The 24,980-nt window shown below is 35.6% G+C and overlaps 1 long non-coding RNA gene across 1 annotated transcript in view; it reads right to left on the reverse strand.

Annotated features, from left to right (window-relative positions):
* Positions 1-1,361: 1,361 nt before the first annotated feature.
* Positions 1,362-24,980, reverse strand: part of LINC01492 (long intergenic non-protein coding RNA 1492) — a 184,506-nt gene continuing 160,887 nt past the window's right edge. The window contains exons 9-10 of the long non-coding RNA NR_121578.1: positions 5,145-5,200; positions 1,362-4,097 (exon numbers count right to left, since the gene is read on the reverse strand). This is a non-coding gene — a long non-coding RNA (long intergenic non-protein coding RNA 1492). The remainder of the gene's footprint in view (positions 4,098-5,144; positions 5,201-24,980) is intronic.

The following is a 24,980-nucleotide window of genomic DNA, read 5'->3' on the forward strand; positions in this document are numbered from 1 at the left end:
CCTATCTCAATAATTATTTTCACTTTTTAATTTTAAAGATTTAAAATACTTTTAATAGCTAAATATTTCAATTGTCTGTCTAAATTCCCATCTAGTTAGGAATTCAGAAAATTAGAAACTAAATTTCCCAGATTCCCTTGCAAATAATACTCTAGATATTTTTTTACATGGATCAACTCTTTTGAGATTTAGAAAAAAAATCAGGTAAAGGCAATCTCCCTGTATTTTGGCTATTATCATTGGTTACAAAGGTTGTGGTAATGTGCTCTTGTGTTTCTTGGTGGCCAGAAATGGTAATAACATATTTATATGTCAGAAGAGATCCAGCAGTGGCTACGGAATTAGCAGTGTCCCTAAGTTTTAGACTCTGTTTGTTCTGGGAGTCATATGAAAAACCTAGAGTTTAATTTGGTTTCATAATTATTCCATTGATTTTTAAATAATTCTTTGTATGTTTTTAAATTTATTTTTGTTTATAATATTTATAATGGCATCTGTTTCTTGCAATAAACAATCAGATTTGTGTTAGCAAAGAAGATAACAGGAAGTTTTAATTCAATATTCTTGTAAAGTTCACGATAGTCTACACCTCAAAACTAGTTTGATGTGGAATTTTAAAACATTTCATTGGTATATAAATAACGTTGTCACATTCGCTGTTTTAACATATACAGTATATATTAGTATACTGTATATTCACAAGATTGTACAAATCATCACCAGAATACAAAAATTCAAGAATGTTTTCATAATTTCATAAGAAATTCTGTACTGATAAGCACAATTTTTAATTTCCCCCTTTCCTCATCCCCTGGCGACCACTAATCTACTTTCTGCCTGTGTGAATTTACCTACTCTGAAGATCTCCTATAAATTGAATCAAACTATATGTGGCCTTTGTGTCTTTTTTTCATGTTTAGCATATTCAGCATTTTACTGCTTTTTATGTCTAAAAATATTATGAATATACAATATTCTACTTGTCTACTCATCAGATAATAAATATTTTGGTTATTTTCACATTTACGCTATTATAAATAATGCTGCAATGAACATGCTTTCTGAGGACATATGTTTTCAATTATCTGAATATATACTTACATGTGAATCACTGGATTATATGATACCTTTAACTTTAAAGAGCTGCCAAACCATTTTCCACAGTAGCTGTACCATTTCAAATTTCCACCATCAATTTCTTTGCATTCTTATCAGCACTTGTTATTATGCACCCGTATATGGAAACGTTGAAGTAGACATGAAATTTACAACACAATGTTTGATATAGATAGGTGTATATCTGATTAAAATGAAGGCTGATGAACAAAAGGTAATGAAATAAAAAAGAAGTCAAAGTTTCATATTTAAAATTGTGCTCAAATAAAGTTTATTAGTTTAATTTCCAACAGATTAAGAATGTATGTTTAAATGTAATAATACATGTGCAGAGCTTTATGTGTGTCCATATACTTCAAGCCAAACTGATTTTTGGTGAATTTGTCTCTTTATAAAATACACAGAAATAGAAAGAAAAGCACTGAAAATTGTGGACTCCTAGTAATAATCAATTAAGCAATTAGCATTACATTACATTTTCCTGTCAGTTTGGCGAGCGTATTTTTCACCACCGAAGATAATAAAAAAAAATCTTAATTTATAATGAGAAATTATAAAATCTGTCAGATGATCTAGAATATATTTACGTAAGATATGAAGATTTTCTTTCAACAATAATGACATAGGAGAAAAAATCAGTTATACATTTCCATATTTATTAAATATCTTCCTATTACAAAAATTTCAATTTCTGCTTTAAAAATATTAAATTTCTCATAATAGCATAACCCAGAGGCAAACATTGTCATTATTTTAATTAATATTTCTAAGAACGTGGACTTTGGAATCTAAGAGAGTTAAATCCTGGCTTTGGCCCTTTAAAGCTATGATAAATGTTTCAGGTGATGGATATCCCAATTACTCTGATTTGATCATTACACGTGATACACACATATCAAAATATCACATGTATGCCTTAAATATGTGCAACTACTATGTATTCTCAAAGAATAAACATTAAGAAAAGTTATGATTTGTAGATGTTAATTTACATTATTTTGATTTAATATCCAATTGGTAAATAGAAGATTTTATTTATACATTAATAGGATTATATGGAAAAACAGAATATTAGTTATAAGGGGCTTTAAAACAATAAATTTCAAATATCAGTTTGACAATGTTTCATGGCAATTCTTATTGACTACACATTAATCTAGATTTTTTCTTTTTATTTATGTCATGTTATATATCACATTACAACAAAGTTGTTCTTTACTTAATATTTTATCATCCGTATTGTCTCAGAAAATTACAAACTTTCTTAAACATTATTTGTTGGCTGGCTAATATTCTATATTTGGAAAATAATTTGCTTAAGTATATAAATGCCTTTTTAAAATATATGTATGTGCTTTCAATTTACTGCTTATAAAGTTATTTCATAGTAAATATTTGTCAATTATTTTTCTTCCTATTTCTGTGTGTTTTATAAACAGACGAACTCACCAAAAGTAGATTTGGCTTGAAGTATATGGATAGACATAAAGCTCTGCATATATATTATTACATTTAAACATACATTCTTAATCTCTTGAAAATTAAACTAATAAACTTTATTTTAGCACAATTTTAAAATTACAATAAAAACAAGAGCAGATAGTACAGAAATTGCCATATAACCTCCCAAACTCGTACACATTTCTCCTATTACTAATGTCTTTCACTGGTGTGGTGCATTTGATACAATTAGAACACCAATATTTACATATCAATAGTAACTACAGTTCATAATTTACATTAAGTTCTACTCTTTCTCTTGTACATTCTATGTGTTTTGACAAATGAAAAATGTCATTTATTATTATTATGGTATCATGCAGAACAGTTGCAGTGCCATAAAAATCACTTGTGCTTCACCTATGTATTCCTCTCACCAGCCACCCTGCCCTCTAACACACATGCATACCAAACCCAAGCAACCATTGATCTTTTTACTCTATTGTTCTGCCTTTTCCAGAATGTCATATCTTTCATATAGGAGTCATATAGGATTATATAGTATGTAGCCATTTCAGACTGACTTCTTGGTCTTAGAAATATGCATTTAAGGTCCCTTTATATTTTTTGTTCCTTGACAGTACATTTTGTTGCTTGATACGAATTTATGGAGGTACTAAAGGTAAAACCCTTGAAAATGTGAGGGCTTCCCTAGGAAGATTGTTTTGGCTGGGGACCCACACCCGTAATCTTAGCACTTAGGGAGCCTGAGAAGCAAGGATCACTTGAACTCAGGAATTCAAGACCAGCCTGGGCAACAGGGCAAGACCATGTCTCCACACACAAAAAATTAAAATATTAGCTGGGGACTGTGGTGCATGCCTATACCCAGCTACTTGGGAGGCTGAAGTGGGAGGATAACGAGATCAGGAGGTCAAGGCTGCAGTGAGCCTTGGTCATGCCTTGGTCTTGCTCTTTCACCTATGCCACCCAGCCTTGGGTTGAAGAGCAAGACCATGTCCCAATTTAAAAAAGAAAGAAACTTTAAATAACTATATTTGAATCATTTGCATAGTCATGAATATTTTAAGTCTGTTTTTAACATTTTTATTATTGATTTGTACAATTAGAATCAGAATAAGCAAAAAAAAAAAAAATCAAAAGGCAACAAAAAAATCTACATAGGCCAGGTGTGGTGGCTCATGCCTGCAATCCCAGCACTTTGGGAGGCCGAGGCGGGTGGATCACGAGGTCAGGAGTGCAAGACCAGCCTGGCTACCATGGTGAAACCCCCTCTCTACTGAAAATACAAAAATTAGCCAGGCATGGTGGCACATGCCTGTAATCCCAGCTACTTGGGAGGCTGAGGCAGGAGAATCGCTTGAACCCAGGAGGTGGAGGTTGCAGTGAGCCGAGACCCCGCCACTGCACTCCAGCCTGGCAACAGAGCGAGACTCCGTCTCAAAAAAACAAAAAAAATCTACATAGATAGCTTGGGTTGTATACCCATGGCAGGATGTATTTTCCAGCCTCACTCTGCCCTGGAATAATGAAACTGTATTTTAAAAACATTCATATAAATTAATCAGTGGATAGCTTTCCTTCATATATTTTAGTGTGAATTTTACAACTGATTGATGAATATTATCTAATTATGCTTTTGTATTAAATGAATTAAATCAGCCAGAGTAAAATACCAAGGTCATTCATTAAAGCATAAGTGCAAACTGTAACATTAATAATAATGGTACTAAAATAATAAAAATAGTGCTAATAATAATACTTTTTTAAGAATTTGTTACAAGATATTTCTACTTTATGCACATTGCTTCGAGTATTGACTATCATAATGAACTAGCTTTTATTACCCATATTTTATATGGAAAGAAATGATACATACAGACATTAAATACAATAACTTGTTCATAACACAGCTAGTATATTGCAGAGGTAGGATTTGAAACAATGACTGATTCCAAAGACTGTTATGCTATATTGCCTTATGTATGTTTGCAATTTCCCCTGTGGCAGTCCTTTAAAAACTTCTTAAATCACTCTTTTGAGAACAGGTGGAAAGTAAACTGAAAGTTTTTCACAACTTGTAAATTAACTGTCATAATATTAAATTATACATATTTTAAATGAACACAATGAATGTAGGATGTTACCCAGTAGCTACAAAATATTGCCAACATTCTCTAAAATGAAACTTAAAGGAGAAATGTAATTCAAGCCGGTTAACCCTGATCCCAAGTTGTTTTAAATCTTTGGCTTTTTAAAATATACTTAAAGTTATTTATAAAGTTACAGTGGGTGTGCACCTATAACGGAAGGGGTCCGATATTGCACAACTGAAATTTCATTTATTAATACAAGTTTAGCATCCCAAATTTGAAAATCTGAAATACAAAACGCTCCCAAATCTGAAACTTTTTGAATCCTAACATGACGCTCAAAGGAAATTTCAGATTTCACATTTTCAGATTTGGGATGCTCAACTGGGATAATGCAACTATTCCAAAATTTGAAAAAATCTGAAATCTGAAACACACTTTGAATCTCAAGCATTTTGGATAAGGGATACTCACTCTGCATGTAGTCCACTTATTCCTTTTGTCCAGACATGAATGCCTGTATTGCTTCACTGAAAACAAAGAGAAATAGCACATCCATCTTAGAAAAAGTGGCTACCTTGTCCGGGCGCGGTGGCTCACGCCTGTAATCCCAGCACTTTGGGAGGCCTAGGTGGGCGGATGACGAGGTCAGGAGATCAAGACCATCCTGCTAACATGGTGAAACACCGTCTCTACTAAAAATACAAAAAATTAGCCAGGCGTGGTGGCGGGCGCCTGCAGTCCCAGCTACTCAGGAGGTTGAGGCAGGAGAATGTCGTGAACCCAGGAGGCGAAGCTTGCAGTGAGCCGAGATCATGCCACTGCACTCCAGCCTGGGCGAGAGTGCAAGACTCCGTCTCAAAAAAAAAAAAAAAAAAAAAAAGAAAAGAAAAGAAAAAGTGGCTACTTTTATGAATTAGCTGTGGATTTCTGCAACATGAAAGGTTATCTATTATGTACCTATAAATAGTTTAAATCCCACTTTAAAAAGGGGAAAATAATCATTGCAATTGGTTTTTATTTGTAGTATAGCAAACTGGAATCTGAGGAGCGTTTAAAAATATCCTGGGGAAATATTATTGGTCACAAAATTTGGCGGGGCATGGTGGCTCATGCCTGTAATCCCAGTACTTTGGGAGGCCGAGGCAGGCAGATCATGAGGTCAGGAGATCAAGACCATCCTGGCTAACACGGTGAAACCCCGTCTCTACTAAAAATACAAAAAATTAGACGGGCGTGGAGGTGGGCACCTGTAGTCCCAGCTACTCGGGAGGCTGAGGCAGGAGAATGGCGTGAACCCGGGAGGCAGAGCTTGCAGTGATCCGAGATCGTGCCACTGCACTCTGCCCTGGGTTCTACTTGGTTTTGTATTTTTAAAGTGGTTTTTGATAAATTTGTAAACTTAATTTTACAGATTTTTAAATGGATTTTTTAAAGATAATTTAAATAATGTGTATATTACATTCATCTCTCCTATAGGCTCTGAGATATAATAGTGGCTATGATTAAGAAATTCTTTCAGTGATTATGCTAAGGTCTTTGGTTACAGACAATTAAGAGCATGGGCTTTGGTATTTTATAGCTCATGATTCAAGTCCTAAGACTTAATTGTTAAGGCCTTAGTGAAGTTAATTAACTTCTTTTAACTAAAGTATTTCTTTCCTTTACAAATGGAGAATGGGGCATGGTAGGAATTAAAGGGAATAAAATAATTTGTGCTATACAAATGTGGTGATGGTGGTTGTTATGAGCTACGTGAGCATAGAGATCTTGTCTGTTGGGCATTGTGTACTTAGTTCCTAGAATAGCACTTGACACATAGTGTTAATACACAAAAGTTAAATTAGCTTTTCTAAATGCATGAATAAATATCATTATTGTAATTAGTATCACACAGTCCAAGGAAATACTTTGAAACAGAAAGTAGATAACACTTTCAAATCTACCCACCTAAAAAAAATCCTGAAATTGTTTTTTTCTTGGATTAAGAAACAACGAGAGTCACTGGTGATTTCTACAGAATACAGAATATAGTTGAGCAATAGTGAGCAGGAAATGAATGAGAAATTTTACAAAATAAAAACTCAATGTAAAATTACATTTCAAGCAATTGACCATAAAAGAAGATGGATATAAAGCAAGCTAAATAAAATATACACCATTTTGTTATGATTGGTATTTTTTTTCAAAATTTAGATTTGGAGGAATAGCAAAGAAATAGATATCACGAATAAATAAAGTCTGTGATGAGATGAAAGCAAGCGAAGATACAGTTGGAGAATTAGATTATAACAAAAGGTGCACTATTTTTCTGGGTCATAGGAAAGAAAGAACCAATTATGAAAATTCAGGTATATTAGTATATTCAAAGATGAACAGGAAAGGGTTAACTTGGCAGGCTGAGGTTGCTTAAACCTTGAACATTCAAAACCAGGACTAGCCTTTGTCTGGCTCCTAGAAGATACCCTCTGAAACCTCGGAATATTCTGCTTGATAGGATTGTGTTTTTATGCTTGAGCCTTTGAAAAAGCTATACCAGTTTGACCAATTAAGTTAATTCTGTTAATGAAGTCTGTGGTAAAAGGCCTATTTTTGCTGAGGCTGAAGGTGGGGTTGAAGAAGGGATGCAGCTGGAACATGAGAGGCTGAGGCTGGTAAAATGGGCACCAGGCACCAGGCACCAGCAGTACTGCATAGATGATAGGTTTCATCTGGTGTTGACCCATCTGTTATAATCTGTTCTAAGGTTGCAAAATAAAGTTGTAATACATTTCTGCCCCTTAGGTAGGTGTATGTCATACTACTTTAAGACTAGATAACTAAATCCTGCTGGATCAGCCAAATCCTATACCCACCACTCAAAAACCATTCCTAAGCATATGGATAATTGATGATCCATTGGTGATATAATCATTTTACAAGAAAAACAACACTTCAATGATTTCAAAACAGAATCTTTTATTGCTCAGTATAATGTTAGCTATAGGTTTGTCATATGTGTCTTTTATTGTATTGAGTAAGTTCCTTTTTTTTTTTGAGATGGAGTCTTGCTCTGTCACCAGGCTGGAGTGCATGGGCACAATCTCAGCTCACTGCAAACTTTGCCTCCAAGGTTCAAGTGATTCTCCTGCCTCGTCCTCTTGAGTAGTTGGGATTACAGGCACATACCACCATGCCCAGCTAATTTTTGTATTTTTAGTAGAGATGAGGTTTCACTATGTTGTTCAAGCTGGTTTCGAACTTCTGACCTCATTATCCACCCACCTCAGCTCTCGAAGTGCTGGGATTATAGGAATGAGCCACCGTGCCTGGCCTGTAAGTTCCTTTTATACCTAATTTGTCTAGGGTTTTGATCACAAAGTGATGATAAATTTTATTGAATTGTTTTTTCTGTGTCTATTGAGATGATCATAAGATTTTTGTCCTGCATTTTGTTAATGTGATGCATCATGTTTATTGATTTGCATATATTGAACCATCCTTGCATCACTGTGATGAATCCCACTTGATCATCGTGAATGAGGAAATTATCATCTGATTCACTATTGAATTCAGCTTGGTAGTATTTTGTTGAGGATTTTTACTTCTATTTTTATCACGGGTGTTGTGTCTTATGGTTTAAGATTATGGTTGAGTTTTTGTAAGGTTTTGGTAGCAGGGTAATACTGGCCTTACAGAATGAGTTAGGCGAATTCTCTCCATTTGAATATTTTAGAATAGTTTGAGAAGACCTTGTATTAATTATTTAAATATTTGATAGATTTCCATGGTGAATCCATCTGGTTCTAGGCTTTTCTTTGAAGAGAGAGTTTTATTACTAATTTAATTTCATTATTCATTAATAGTCTGCACAGGTTTTTATTTCTTTATATTTCAATCTTGCTAAGTTGTTTGTGTCCAGAAATTTATCAATTTCTTCTAGGTTTTCCAATTTGAGTGTATGTAGTTGTTCATAATAATCTTTAATGATGGTTTCTATGCCTGTAGCACCAGTTATAATGTCTTCTTTTTAATCTCTGATTTAATCTATTTGTCATCTCTCTTTGGCTTAGTTACTCTAGCTAAAGGTTTGTCAATTTTGTTCATCTTTTGAAAAAATATTTGTTTCATTGATTTTTTTTTAGTTTCTATTTGATTTATTTCTGCTGCAATCTTTATTATTTCTTTTCTACTAACTTTGGGTTGAAATCATTCTCATTTTTCTAGTTGCTTGTGCTAGGTTGTCTATTTGAGATATTTCTGCTTTTTTCATGTAGGTGTTTATTACTATAAATTGTTCTTGTAAACCTACTTTTGCTGTGTCCCATACCTTTGTATATTTTGTAGTTTTATTTCTATTTTCTCATAATTTTGTAAAAATGTATTTATTGACCTATTTGTTGTTCAAAAACTTGTTTAATTTCTATGTATTTGTGCAGTTTCCAATATTCCTTCTGTTATTGATTTTTAGTTTTTATTCCATTATGGTCAGAAAAGATACTTAATATGATTTTGACTTTTTAAATTTGTTAAGACTTATTTTGTGGCTTAATATATGATCTGTCATGCAGAATGTCCCACATATTGTTGAGAACAATGTGTATTCTACAGCTGTTTCATGAAATGTTCTGAAAATGTCTGTTAGTTGCATTTAGTCTACGATGTGGTTTAACTGATGTTTCTCTGTTGATTTTCTGTCTCAATGATCTGTTCATTGCTGACAGTGAATTGTCAAAATCTACTATTATTATATTGCATTCAATCTTTCTTTATATTATATATATATATTTGCTTTATAAGTTTAGTTGTTCCTATGTTGAGTGCATAGATATTTACAATTGTTATATCATCGGGCTGTATTTACCTTTTTAATCACTATATAATGGCCTAATTTGTTCTTTTTACAGTTTTTGGCTCAACATTTATTCTATCTGATATAAGTATAGCTACTCCTGCTCTTTTTTGGTTTCCATTTGCATGGAATATCTTTTCCCATCTCTTCTCTATCAGTCTATGTGTATCCTTACATTAAAATGAATCTATTGTAGCTAGGATTTAGTGGAGTCGTGCTGTTGTGTTTTTTTAATTCTTTAAGCCACGCTATGTCTTTTAATTGTATGACTTAATCAATTTATATTCAAGGTAATTATTTACAGGCAAGGGCTTAACTACTGCCATTTTCTTATTTGTTGTCTAGTTTTAGAAATGCTTTTCTCCTTTCATTTTCTCTTTCAGTCTTCCTTTGTAGTTATGTGATTTTCTCTAGTAGTATGTTTTTTTTTCTTTTTCTTTTTAGTGTATCATTTATAGGTTTTTGCTTTGTAGTTAATATGAGGCCTTTAATATCACACTTTACATTTTTTACATTGTCTATCTGATATGGTTTGGCTGTGTCCCCACCCAAATCTCAACTGGACTTTTCTCTCTCAGAATTCCCATGTGCTGTGAGAGGGACCCAGGGGGAGGTAATTGAATCATGGGGCCAGTTTTTCCCATGCTATTCTTGTGATAGTGAATAAGACTCATGAAATCTGACGGGTTTATCTGGAGTTTCCGCTTTTGTTTCTTCCTCATTTTCTTTTGCCGCTGCCATGTAAGAAGTGCCTTTCAACACCTGCCAGGATTCTGAGGTCTTCCCAGCCATGTGGAAATGAAATTCCTATTAAAACTGTTTTTCTTCCCAGTCTCAGGTATGTCTTTATCAGCGGTGTGAAAACAGACTAATACAGTAAATTGATACTGAGAGTGGGTGTTGCTGAAAGATACTCAAAAATGTGGAAGCGACTTTGGAACTGGGTAACAGGCAGAGATTGGAACAGTTTGGAGGGCTCAGAAGAAGAGAGAAAAATGTGGGAAATTATGAAACTTCATAGAGAGTTGTTGAATGGCTTTGACAAAAATGCTGATAGTGACATGAACAATGAGGTCCAGGCTGAAGTGGTCTCAGATGGAGATGAGAAATTTGTTGGAAACTGGAGCAAAGGTGACTCTTGTTATGGTTTAGCAAAAAGACTGGTAGCATTTTGCTCCTGCCCTAGATATTTGAGGAACTTTGAAGTTGACAGAGGTAATTTAGGGTATCTGGCAAAGAAATGTCTACGCAGCAAAGCATTCAAAAGGTGACTTGAGTGCTGTTAAAATCATTACATTTTAAAAGGGAAACAGAGCACAAAAGTTCAGAAAATTTGCAGCCTGATGATGCAGTAGAAAAAAAAATTTTTTTTTGAGGAGAAATTCAAGCCAGCTGGAGAAATTTGCTAAGTAGCAAGGGGCCCAATATTTAATCCCCAAGACCATGGGGAAAGTTTCTCCAGGCCATGTCAGAGACCTTCATGGCAGCCTCTCCCATCACAGGCCTGGAAGCCCAGGAGGAAAAAGTGGTTTCCTGGGCCAGGCCCAGGGACTCTGTGCTGTGTGCAGCCTAGGGACTTGGTACCCCGTGTCCCAGCTGCTCCAGCCATGGCTGAAAGAGGCCAACGTAGAGCTTGAGATTTGGCTTCAGAGGGTGGAAGTCCCAAGCCTTGGCAGTTTCCACATGGTGTTGAGCCTGCAGGTGCGCAGAAGTCAAGAATTTAGGTTGGGCAACCTCCACCTAGATTTCAGAAGATGTATGGAAATGCCTAGATGCCCAGGCAGTTTGCTGAAGGGGCAGGGCCCTCATGGAGAACTTCTGCTAGGGCAGTGTGGAAGGAAAATATGATGTTGGAGCCCCCACCCAGAGTCCCTACTGGGGAACTGCCTAGTGGAGCTATGCTGTGATAAGGGGCCACCATCCTCCAGAACCCAAAATGGTAGATCCACTGACAGCTTGCACTATGCACCTGAAAAAGCTGCAGATACTCAATGCCAGCCCTTGAAAGCAGCTGAAAGGGAGGCTGTACCCTGCAAAGCCACAGGGATAGAGCTGCTCAAGACCATGGGAACCCACTTCTTGCATCAGCATGACCTGGATGTGAGACACGGAGTTAAAGGAGACCATTTTGGACATTTTGGAGCTTTAAAATTTGACTGCACCACTGGATTTCAGACTTGCATGAGCTCTGTAACCCCTTAGTTTTGCCCAATTTCTCCCATTTGGAATGGTTGTATTTACCCAATGTCTATAACCCCGTTATATCTAGGAAGTAACTAGCTTGCTTTTGATTTTACAGGCTTATAGGCAGAAAGGACTTGCCTTGTCTCAGATGAAACTTTGGACTGCGGACTTTTGGGTTAATGCTGAAATGAGTTAAGACTGTGGGGAACTGTTGGGGTGGTGTGATTGGTTTTGAAATTTGAGAACATGAGATGTGGAGGGGCCAGGTGTGGAATGATATGGTTTGGCTCTATCCCCAGGCACATGTCAACTTGAATTTTATCTCCCAGAATGCTCCTGTGTTGTGAGAGGGATGCAGGGGGAGGTAATTGAATCATGGAGGTCAGCTTTTCCTGTGCTATTCTTGTGATAATGAATAAGTCTCATGAGATCTGATGGGTTTATCAGGGGTTTCCATTTTTACTTCTTCATTTTCTTTTGCCACACCATGTAAGAAGTGCATTTTGCCTCTCACCATAATTCTGAGGCCTCCCCAGCCATGTGGAACTGTAAGTCCAATTAAACCTCTCTTTCTTCCCAGTCTCAGGTATGTCTTTATCAGCAGCAGGAAAACAGACTAATACATTATCTCTGAACAAGTATTATAGTTGTTGTTATTAATAATTTGTCTTTTAGTGTTTATACTAAAAATATTTGTAGTTTAATACCATGACCACTATACTAAAATAACAACATGTTAGTGTCTTTTTCTTTCAACTGGAAGAACTCTCATTAGCATTTCCTTGTAGGATGTTCTTCTAGCAATGAATTCCCTCAGCTTTTGTTTGGGAAAGTCTTCATTTCTCTTTCATTTCTGAAAGATAGCTTTGTTCTGTAGAGTATTCTTGGTTGGCAGGCTTTTGTTTTGTTTCTTTTTTTTTTTTCAGCACTCTGAATATATCATCCTACTCACTCCTGGCTGGTAAGGTTTCTGCTGATAACTTTGCTGCCAGACATATTGAATCTCCCTTATATGTTGTTTCTTTTCTCTTGCTGCTTTCAGCATCTTCTCTTTGTCTTTGACCTTTGAGAGTTTATTCATAATATTCTTGGGATATTCTTATTTGAGTTGAATCTGACTGTGGACTGTTCACCTTCCTATAGTGAATATTTATATCTTCCAGTAGGTTTGGAAAATGATTCTGTTTTTATTTCTTCAAATAATCTTTCAATCTCTTCATCTTTCTTAATTTCCACTTTAACTCCTATAAATTAAATAATTTCTTTTTTGATGTTGTCACATAAATCTCATATGCTTTCTTAATTACTTTTCATTGTTTTTACTTTATTCTTTTTTGATTGTATAATTTCAAATAGCCCATCTTTGAGCTCACTGATTTTTTTCTTCTGTTTGGTTAATTATGTAGCTGAACGTTTCTATCGCATCTTTCCTTTTATTCATTACAGTTTTCACCTCCAAGATTTCTGTTTTCTCTCTGTTAAACTTCTCTTGTAAACTTTTCAATTGATTCTTTGCATTTTTTAAAATTCATTGAGCTTCTTGAAAATAGCTATTTTAAACTATTTGTCTGAGAGATAAAATACCTCCATCATGTTAGGGTTGGTGTCTAGTGTCTCATTTTGTGCTTGGTGAGGTAGTATTTCTCTGAATTTTCTTAATACTTTTGGACAAGTGACAATTCCTATGCCTTGAGGGATAAGGTATATATTCCCATTTTCAAAGACTAGCTTTATTTGTGCCTGCTCTTCAGAGAGCCTTTCAGAGATTCTAAGCAGATTAACTGTTGTGTTCCCTAAGCCTACAACCACTGCAGTCATCTAAGCACAAGAGGGAGCTCTAAAATAAAGCTTGCCACAAATCACATAAGTCTCAACAGCTGATAAAACTTTCAGGATGGGATATACCTCGGGAAGACCCAGAGAGAGTTCTGGGGCTGTTTGAGAAAGATGGCTAGACATTTGAGCCCAGAAGACTGTCCTGGTGTCATACAAATGTGCTTCTGTGCAGGTTTCCGCACAAGTGGAATAGGTTCTAGACTGCAGCAAGATGAGCTGGGGTTGAGACAGCACCCCCACTTTCCCTGACACCCAACTCTGTATCTGCTGTGGGATGAAAGCTGGAAAATTCATTTCATTGGCTAAGATGACTGTGCATCTCCCAGCAGGTTCCTGTACAGTTGGGATAGTTACTCAATGGCAGCAGGAAGGGCTGAAACTGAGACAAGCCCCCTAAGGATCTTTTGTGGGATGAAGGCTGGTGAACGTGTCTCATTGAAAAAGCAGGGTATCTCTTAGCAGGTCCCAGCACAGATGGGATAGTTTCCCAAATGCAGTGGAAGAGACTGGAGCTAAAACCAGGCCCCTCAGAATCTGCTGTAGGATGGACACAGAAGAGCTTGTCTTCTTGGCTCAGAGGTATATGCATCTACCAGCAGGTTCCTGCATAGACAGGATAGTTCACCAACTGCTGTGGGAGAGGTCTGAGCTAAGATGAGGCCCCCTTGGAATCTACTGTAAGACAGAAGCTGGATAGCCTGTCTCACTGTCTCAGAGGGGCACATGTCTCCTATCAGTTTTCTTCATAGAAGAAATACTTCCCCAACTTTTAACTAAAACAGAAAAGGCTACAGCTGAGTCTGGGCCCCTTTGGTATCTGCTGTGGGAGCTAGTCTCATTGGCTGAAATGGACATATGTTTCTCAGGTTTCTGCACAGACAGGATAGGTCCGTGACTGCAGCAGGAGAGACCAGGGTTGAGGCTGGCACTCCTTGGGATTTGATGTCAGCTGGAAGCTGGAGGGCTTTCAAGGAGGTTCAGAGTCACAGGTTGGGAAATATGGTAAGTCTGCCTCTGAGTCCTTTTTCCAGGTATATTGAGCTGGAACCTCAGCAGAAGGGAGCTGGAGGTAACACAGGGCAACTTTCAGGTATGTTGCTAAAACCAATGCTACCAGGCTAAGGAGCCTCTGCACTGAGGCATTAATGAGTGCAACTCCTCCTGGTCCCTTTGGTAGACAGTTTTGGTTGCAGAGTCAAGGACAACTGCTGCTATAGCCATGTCTTCTGGGGAATGGGGCCATTTCCAGGCTTGAATCCAATGGCACAATCAGCAGATCTCCCACCTGGGTATTTGCACTCTCAAAACAAGTCTCCTTGGTCTTGGGTTCCACTAGGGTTTCACAACCTCCAGCCTGAATTCCAAGGCTCCCACAGAGAGACTTTTGTTTGTGGATGGGTGCAAAATTCTTGTTGTTATGGGGAGATATAAGTGAGTTACCTCTTATTCTGCTGTCTTGCTGCAGATATTCAATTTCTTATAGTTCGTTGTTCTATGATTCTCATTAAGAACCTTCCAATCTGTGATTTAGGGGACCTGTTCAATCTCCAGCTAATATTCATATCCCAGTCAGTAAGTAAGAGAAAAATGAAAAGGAAAGTAAGAGAGCAATATGATTTGCTTTAATGAAACTTCCTTTATGCTAAATACAACACTTCCCCTTTTTTTAAATAACCACAATTAAGAAAGCTAGGAAATAAAATCATTATTCTAGGTAACTTTGATGCCTTGGTAAAGGGAATAATATAACTGCAGAAAAAAAGCATAATTGAAATTACAGAACTGACAGATTCTCACAAGGGTTTTATCTTCTTTGCTTAATGCAAGGTAGGTAGAAGTATCGGGGCTCCAAATTTATATATTTTTTCACTGAAATAGTAGTTTTTAAACATTTACAGGTTTTCTTTTTTTTTCTTTGTTTTTATTATACTTTAAGTTTTAGGGTACATGTGCACAACGTGCAGGTTAGTTACATATGTATACATGTGCCATGTTGGTGTGCTGCACCCAGTAACTCGTCATTTAACATTAGGTATATCCCCAAATGCTATCCCTTCCCCCTCCCCCAATCCCACAACAGGCCCAGGTGTGTGATGTTCCCCTTCCTGTGTCTATATGTTCTCATCGTTCAATTAGAGAAAAAAGAATAAAAAGAAATGAACAAAGACTCCAAAAAATATGAGACTATGTGAAAAGACCAAATCTACGTCTGATTGGTATATCTGAAAGTGACAGGGAGAATGGAACCAAGTTGGAAAACACTCTGCAGGATATTATCCAGGAGAACTTCCCCAATCTAGCAAGGCAGGCCAACATTCAAATTCAGGAAATACAGAGAACGCCACAAAGATATGCCTCGAGAAGAGCAACTCCAAAACACATAATTGTCAGATTCACCAAAGTTGAAATGAAGGAAAAAATGTTAATGGCAGCCAGAGAGAAAGGTTGGGTTACCCACAAAGGGAAGCCCATCAGACTAACAGCTGATCTCTTGGCAGAAACTCTACAAGCCAGAAGAGAGTGGGGGCCAATATTCAACATTCTTAAAGAAAAGAATTTTCAACCCAGAATTTCATATCCAGCCAAACTAAGCTTCATAAGTGAAGGAGAAATAAAACACTTCACAGACAAGCAAACGTTGAGAGATTTTGTCACCACCAGGCCTGCCCTAAAAGAGCTCCTGAAGGAAGAACTAAACATGGAAAGGAACAACCGGTACCAGCCACTGCAAAAACATGCCAAATTGTAAAGAACATTGAGGCTAGGAAGAAACTGCATCAACTAATGAGCAAAATAACCAGCTAACATCATAATGACAGGATCAAATTCACACATAACAATATTAAACTTAATTATAAATGGACTAAATGCTCCAATTAAAAGACACAGACTGGCAAATTGGATAAAGAGTCAAGACCCAGCAGTGTGCTGTATTCAGGAAACCCATCTCACATGCAGAGACACACATAGGCTCAAAATAAACGGATGGAGGAAGATCTAACAAGCAAATGGAAAACAAAAAAAGGCAGGGGTTGCAATCCTAGTTTCTGATAAACAGACTTTAAACCAACAAAGATCAAAAGAGACAAAGAAGGCCATTACATAATGGTAAAGGGATCAATTCAACAAGAGCTAACTATCCTAAATATATATACACCCAATATTCGTAGGCTGCACAACAATTCGCTGCTATCTCCAGAATGTGCAGGGGTCTCTGAAACTCAACACTGTCAGTGGACCAGGAGCACCCAGATTCATAAAGCAAGTCCTTAGAGACCTACAAAGAGACTTAGACTCCCACACAATAATAATGGGAGACTTTAACACCCCACTGTCAACATTAGACAGATCAATGAGACAGAAAGTTAACAAGGATATCCAGGAATTGAACTCAGCTCTGCACCAAGTGGACCTAATAGACATCTACAGAACTCTCCACCCCAAATCAACAGAATATACATTCTTCTCAGCACCACATCACACTTATTCCAAAATTGACCATATAGTTGGAAGTAAAGCTCTCCACAGCAAATGTAAAAGAACAGAAATTATAACAAAGTGTCTCTCAGACCACAGTGCAATCAAACTAGAATTCAGGATTAAGAAACTCACTCAAAACCACTCAACTACATGGAAACTGAACAACCTGCTCCTGAATGACTACTGGGCACATAACAAAATGAAGGCAGAAATAAAGATGTTTTTTGAAACCAACGAGAACAAAGACACAACATACCAGAATTTCTGGGACACATTCAAAGCAGTGTGTAGAGGGAAATTTATAGCACTAAATGCCCACAAGAGAAAGCAGGAAAGATCTAAAATTGACACCCTAACATCACAATTAAAACAACTAGAGAAGCAAGAGCAAACACATTCAAACATTTACAGGTTTTCAAGTTGAGAATCTGACAAAAACTATAATCCACAGAAAAATATTCATGTACAGATAATATTTCCTAGGTTTTCTTCTAGGATTTTTAGAGTTTAAGATCTTCCATTAAGTCTTTAACTCACCTTGAGTTAATTTTTGTATATGGTGATAGGCAGAGTTTTAGTTACATTGTTTTGCATGTGGGAACCTAATTATGTCAGTACCATTAATTTAATAGGGAGTACATTTTCCATTTTTTATTTTTGTCAACTTTATCAAAGATCAGATGGTTGTAGGAGAGCATATTTATTTTTGGGTTTTCTATATTGTTCCATTTGTCTGTGTCTATTTTGTACTGGTCCCATATTGTTTTGGTAGCTGTAGCCTTGTAGCATAGTTTGACGTTGGGTAATATGGTGCCTCTGGCTTTGTTCTATTTTGTTTAGGAGTGCTTTGGCTTTTTGGGTTCTTTTTTACTTTGATATAAATTTTAGAATTTTTTGAATTCTGTAAGTAATGTTATTGGTAATTTAATAGGAACAGCATTGAATTTGTAAATTGCTTTGGGCAATATGGCCATTTTAACAAAATTGATTCTTCCCATTCATGAGCATAGAATATTTTTCCATTTGTTTGTGTCATCTCTGATTTCTTTCATCAATGTTCTGTAATTCTCTTTGTAGAGATCTTTTGTCTCTTTTGTTAGATGTATTCCTAGGTATTTTATTCTTTTTGTGGCTATTGTAAGTGAGACTGCATTCTTCATCTGGCTCTTAGTTTGAACGTTCTTGGTGTATGGAAATATTACTGATTTTTGTACTTTGATTCTGTATCCTGGGACTTTACTGAAGTCATTTATGAGTTCTAGGAGACTTTTGGCAGAGTCTTTAGAGTTTTCTAGATATCAAATCATAGAGTCCATGAATATAGATAGTTTTCCTGTTTGAATGCCTTTTATATTTTCTCTTGCCTGATTGCTGTAGCTAGGACTTCAGTACTACTTTAAATAGCAGTGCTGAGAGTAGCTGTTTACGTCTTGTTGTAGCCCTCAAAAGAAATGCTTCCAGCTTTTGTTCATTCAAGTATGATGTTGGCTGTGGATTTGTCATAGATAACTCTTATTATTTTGAGATATGGTCCTTTAGTAACTAGTTTGTTAAGAGCTTTTATCATGAAGGAGGTTGGATTTCATCAAGAGCTTTTTCTGCATCTATTGAGATGATTATATGGTTTTTGTTTTCAATTCTGTTCATATGATGAATCACATTTATTGATTTCTGTAGGTTGAACCAATGCATCCCAGGAATAAAGTCTACTTGATCATGTTGAATGAAATTTCTGATATGCTGCTGGGTTTGGTTTGCCAGTGTTGTGTTGAGGATATTTGCATCTATGTTTATCAGGGATATTGGCCTGTAGTTTTCTTTTTTCTTTGTGTCTCTGCCAAGGTTTGGTATCAGAATGATGTTGGCTTCACAGAATGAGTGAGGAAGGAGCCCCTTCTCAATTTTTTTGAATAGTTTAAATCAGATTAGTATCATCTCTTCTTTTCATGCCTGGAAGAATTCAGCCGTGAATCTATCTGGTCCAGGGCTTTTTTTTTTTTTACTTTTAATTACTGATTTGATTTTGAAACTTGTTCTTGATCTGTTAAGAGTTTCCATTTCTTCCTGGTTCAACTTTGGGAGGTTGTATGTTTCTAGGAATTTATCCATATCCTTTATATTTTCCTGTTTGTGCACATAGAGGTTTCACAATAGCCTCTGAGAATCTTTTGTTTTTCTGTGGAATAGGTTGTAATTCATCTTTGTCATTTCTTATTGTGCTTATTTGGATCTTCTTTATTTTTTCCTTGTTAATCTAGCTAGTGGTCTATCAGCCTTTTTAATCCTTTTAAAGAAACTTTTTTCTTGCTTGTTTCCCTAATCCTTTCTATAGATATATTTTCATCTAAATTGTATTCAGTTCTGCTCTAATTTTAGTTATTTTTTTCTTCTGCTAGCTTTAGAGTTAGTTCTTGATTTCTAATTCCTCTAAATGTGATGTTACATTGTTAATTTGAGATCTATTCAACTACTTGATGTAGGTGTTTAGTACTACAAACTTTCCACTTAACACTGCTTTCACCACATCCCAAAGATTTTGATACGTTGTGTCTCTATTTTCATTAATTCCAAATATTTTTAAATATTTACTTTAATATTGTTGTTTACCCAAAAGTCATTCAGGAGTATGTTATTTATTTAATTTATATGTAATTGTGTGGTTTTGGGATAACTTCTTGGTATTTATTCTATTTCTATTCCACTGTGATCTGAGAGTGAGGTTGGTATGATTTCACTATTTTTTCAATTTATAGAGATTTGCTTCAAAGAATTGGTATTTGAATTCTGAGGATTTGTTCAGTCTTAGATTATGTTCTGTGTGCAGATGAGAAGATGTATATTCTCCGATTGTTTAGTGGAATGTTCTGTAGATGTCTATTAGATACAATTATTCATGTTGTGTTTGACTCCAGAGTTTCTTTGTTGAATTTCTGCCTTGTTAATCTTTCTAATTATTTCGCTGGGGTGTTAAAGTCCCCCACTATTATTGTGCAGCTGTTTAAGTTTTTTCATAGGTCTGGAAAGATTTGATTTATGAATCTGGTTGCTTCACTGTTGGGTGCATACATATTTAGGATAGCTAAGTCTTCTTGTTGAATTGAACCCTTTCCATTATTTAATACCCTTCTTTCTCCTTTTTGACTGTTGTTGGTTTAAAGTCTGTTTTATATACTATAAGAATAGCAATCTCTGCTCTTTTTTGTTTTCTGTTTGCATGATAGATCTTTTTTCATCCCTTCACTTTGAGCCTATGTGTGTATTACAAGTGAGTTGGATCTCTTGAAAATAGCAGGTGTTTGGGTCTTGTTTTTTCATTCAACTTGCCACTCTGTGCCTTTTAAGTGGGACACTTAGAACATTTACAATCAAGGTTAATATTTATATGTGAGGTTTTGATGCTGTTCTTGTGTTGTTAGCTGATTGTTTTGTAGACTTAATGTGTAGTTGCTTCATAAGGTCTATGGGTCTGTGGGCTATGTTCTTAACTGTTTTTGTGGTAGTGTCATTCATTCATTTTCATCTTTAGAACTCCCTTAAGGACCTCTTATAAGGCTTATCTAGTGGTAACAAATTCCCTTAGTGTTTGCCTGTCTGAAAATGATTTTATTTTTTCTTTGCTTATGAAGCTTAGTTTGGCAGGATATGAAATTCTTGATTGGAATTTCTTTTTTTAAGGACGCTGAAAATAGATTTCCAATCTTTTCTGGTTTATAAGGTTTCTGCTAAAAAGTAATTTTTAACCTGATTGGAGTCCCTTTGTAAGTGATGTGACTCTTTCTCTAGCTGCCTTTAAGGATTTTTCTTCATGTTGAACTTGAAGCATCTGATGACTGTGTATCATGGGGATGGTCATTGTGCATAGTAACTCATAGAAGTCCTCTGAATTGCTTAAATTTGCATGCCAATCTCTCTAGTTATATTGAGGAAATCTTCATGACTATATACTCTAGTATGTTTTCCAAGTTGCTTACTCTCTCTTATTTTCTCTCGGGAATGTCAATGGGTTACAGGGTTGGTCTCTTCATATAATCTGATATTTCTCAGATGTTTTGTTCATTTTTTAAAATTTTAAAAACAATTTTGTCAGACTAGGTTGATTCAGAAGATTGATATTCATGGTCTGAGACTCTTTCCTGAGGTTGTTCTCTTCTGTTGTTAATTTTTCCAATGGTAATATGAAATTCCTATCATGAATTTTTCAATTCCAGTAGTCCAGCTTAGTTCTTTCTTAAAATGGCTATGTAATTTTTCAACTGTTGAATCATTTTCTTGGCTTCTTTGGATTGAGTTTTAACTTTCTCCTGAATCTCATCGAGCTTCCTTGCCACTGATATTCAGAACTGTATATTTCTCATTTCAGCCATTTCAATTTTGTTAGAAGCCATCTCTGGTGAGCTAGTGCAATAAGGAGATTAAAACTTGTGTGAAGATGAGGAAAAAGCTTTCCTTAGATCTCAGAAGCCACTAAACCAACACTAAACTACAACCTCGGTCAATAGTTTGCTTTTACATTAAAAGTAGGTCAAATCCTAAATTGTTGCACTTTCCCTGAGTTAAAATTATCTAGATGTCATTTAAGAAAGTGTATAGGTAGTTAACACTAGTCTATCTTGAGGAAAAAAACTGTATATGCAATTAAGTAATTTAGATAGCAACTTTGTAAATACTGTAATTACCTTTTAACATTCTATTATACCCATTTTAAAAGTGTGTCATAATTTTTATTGATGCCTGAAAGTAGTATTTTCTTTTACTTTCACAAAGATACAGATTAGTTCCATCATCATTTTTGAGATTGCATTTACCCTGAAAAAATTATAGGGAATTAAGTGTCAAACGTTGTCTCCTATTTGAGTTCCTCCTTTTCAGGGAAAATTATATAGAATTAAATACTGTTGGGGTTGAAAGAAACCTTAAAGGTTACCTACTTTAACCCCACCCTTCTGAAGCATAAACTAGATGCTTGCTTATAAGAAGTGACAGTTTTAGCAAATATAATTTCAAGAAATAATATATTTAAAGTTGTAGTATAGGTCCTGTGTGTAACAAAGAAAATAAAGAAATTTCACAAAACTGTTAGTCTGTTAAGAGCAGGAGCATAGCATTCCTCTCACATTTAAAACTACAGAAAGATAGCAGCACAATGATAAAGATGATAATAAAAAGAAGAAGCCAGAAAACTTTGGGGTGCAGCTGCCACCCAAGTAAAAGGAAATAATTGGAAAGTAACAAAGCAAATATGTATATGTAGTTTGGCCCTTTGATTACTTCTGTATATAATGCATTTATTCATTTATTTTTAAAGTGGGGAATGAAGAACAAGGAAGAGGAAAACAGAGCACTGACAATACAGAGGCCAAGAAATGTAAATAGAGCTTTTTATTCTGGTAAATAATATGAGGGTAGTATTTTTCTTTCTTTGTAGAGAATTAAATTTTATAATTGATCAACAAATATCATATTCCCATATCTATGTCCTAGAGATATGTAAATGAGAAATAAGTATATTTAGAGGGTGCTAAAATCATACTTATTAAAAGCTGAGAGAGTAAAAATTTTGTTATTGCTTCCTGTCGTCATTTTATCTGCCTTTTGCCTAGAGTACAGCTGTGCCTCTTGAAGAGTAAACATCACATTCACCTCAAAGAATTTTCTGGTGTGAGATGGTATCTCATTGTGGTTTTGATCTGCATTTCTCTGATGGCCAGTGATGATGAGCATTTTTTCATGTGTTTTTTGGCTGCATAAATGTCTTCTTTTGAGAAGTGTCTGTTCATGTCCTTCGCCCACTTTTTGATGGGGTTGTTTGTTTTTTTCTTGTAAATTTGTTTGAGTTCATTGTAGATTCTGGATATTAGCCCTTTGTCAGATGAGTAGGTTGGGAAAATTTTCTCCCATTTTGTAGGTTGCCTGTTCACTCTGATGGTAGTTTCTTTTGCTGTGCAGAAGCTCTTTAGTTTAATTAGATCCCATTTGTCACACCAGTTAGAATGGCAATCATTAAAAAGTCAGGAAACAACAGGTGCTGGAGAGGATGTGGAGAAACAGGAACACTTTTACACTGTTGGTGGGACGGTAAACTAGTTCAACCATTGTGGAAGTCAGTGTGGCGACTCCTCAGGGATCTAGAACTGGAAATACCATTTGACCCAGCCATCCCATTACTGGGTATATACCCAAAGGACTATAAATCATGCTGCTATAAAGACACATGCACACGTATGTTTATTGCGGCATTATTCACAATAGCAAAGACTTGGAACCAACCCAAATGTCCAACAATGATAGACTGGATTAAGAAAATGTGGCACATATACACCATGGAATACTATGCAGCCATACAAAATGATGAGTTCATGTCCTTTGTAGGGACATGGATGAAATTGGAAATCATCATTCTCAGTAAACTATCGCAAGAACAAAAAACCAAACACTGCATATTTTCATAGGTGGGAACTGAACAATGAGATCACATGGACACAGGAAGGGGAATATCACACTCTGGGGACTGTTGTGGGGTGGTGGGAGCGTGGAGGGATAGCATCGGGAGATATACCTAATGCTAGATGACGAGTTAGTGGGTGCAGCACACCAGCATGGCACATGTATACATATGTAACTAACCTGCACAATGTGCACATGTACCCTAAAACTTAAAGTATAATAAAAAAAAAAATTTTCTGACAACGCTTGTAGTCCCTAGGACAGAATTTATATTTTTTCCTACTCTAATGCTACACTATTCAAATTTCTATTACCTAATTTTTGGTAAGATAGTTGTTTTTACTTAAGCTTGGTTGCTTCAATCAGTGAGTGGAGTATATGTTGTATAATGAGTTACAGCCCTCAGAGTACAAAGTATAAATATAGCACAGGGCAGTGAATGGTATAGACATTAAAAAGCTTCTGAAGAAATACCTGAAATTTGATAATAAAATGCTGCTTTCCATACTAGTAACAGAATGGGAACTAATGAGAATTTAATTCCACTCATTTTCTGGTACCAAACATTTACTTGAGCCATGCCTCTAATTAGAAGTCTCATCTTAACATGTCAGGAAATATTGAAGTTTTAGATATGTTTGCTAGAGTCCAGTGTATTTATTATGCAATCTCTTCTATATCAGTTCCACACTTACAGAAGTATAACGATCCAAGGTAGCTGGACATAAAACACACAAGAAAAATTAAGTATTAAGTTCTTATATCTTTTTTCATTCTTCAATCATTTCCAAACCTTGACTCACACAGGTGTCTACAACTTGAGCCTGTTTCTTTTTTCAGTATAATCTGATTCAAATTTGATTGTGTTGGCTTCTTTCTACTATATTAGCAAACCTTTAGCCCCTTTAAATAAATATTAATAATATCATCCATATAATAAGGTTGTTGCAAGATTTAAATGATATTTATTTAAAAGTTTATCCAAGTCCCCCCCGGAAGTTACAATCCAATAATGGTAAGCTATTTGTATGCTTACTATCGATATTGATACCACTACAGTTGCTACAGATGCTGCTGCTGCTGTTACTATTGCTATCAGTAATTGATAAACTAGAAAATAGGAGCAATCTTTGTATCTTGGCTTGGTATACAATGTTGCAATTTTTTTAATTTTTTGCTTCTTTATTCTCTAAGCCTTCCTCCTTGTATCTTTATTCTCCTCTTTTTTTTCAAAACCAGTTACTTATTAATTCTAGTAAAGTACCATTGTCCTCGCTCTTTATTCAGTTTACTTGCCTGCTTTACTCTGAAGCTAAATTTTCGTAAACTCTTGGAAAATGGCTAGAGATTAAGAGGAGGTAAGGATCTGCCATAGAAGAAAACAGCTAAACTGGTAGCACTTATGAAGGAAAACCTATAAAGATAAAAATATAAAGACTCAACTAAGAAAATGAAAGCATTGAAATAATAATTGTTATAATAATTATTATTATTAATATTTTGAGACAATGTCATGCTCCACTGCCCAGGCTCAG

Source organism: Homo sapiens, chromosome 9 (assembly GCF_000001405.40).
Source record: "Homo sapiens chromosome 9, GRCh38.p14 Primary Assembly".
Classification (NCBI taxonomy): Eukaryota; Metazoa; Chordata; class Mammalia; order Primates; family Hominidae; genus Homo; species Homo sapiens.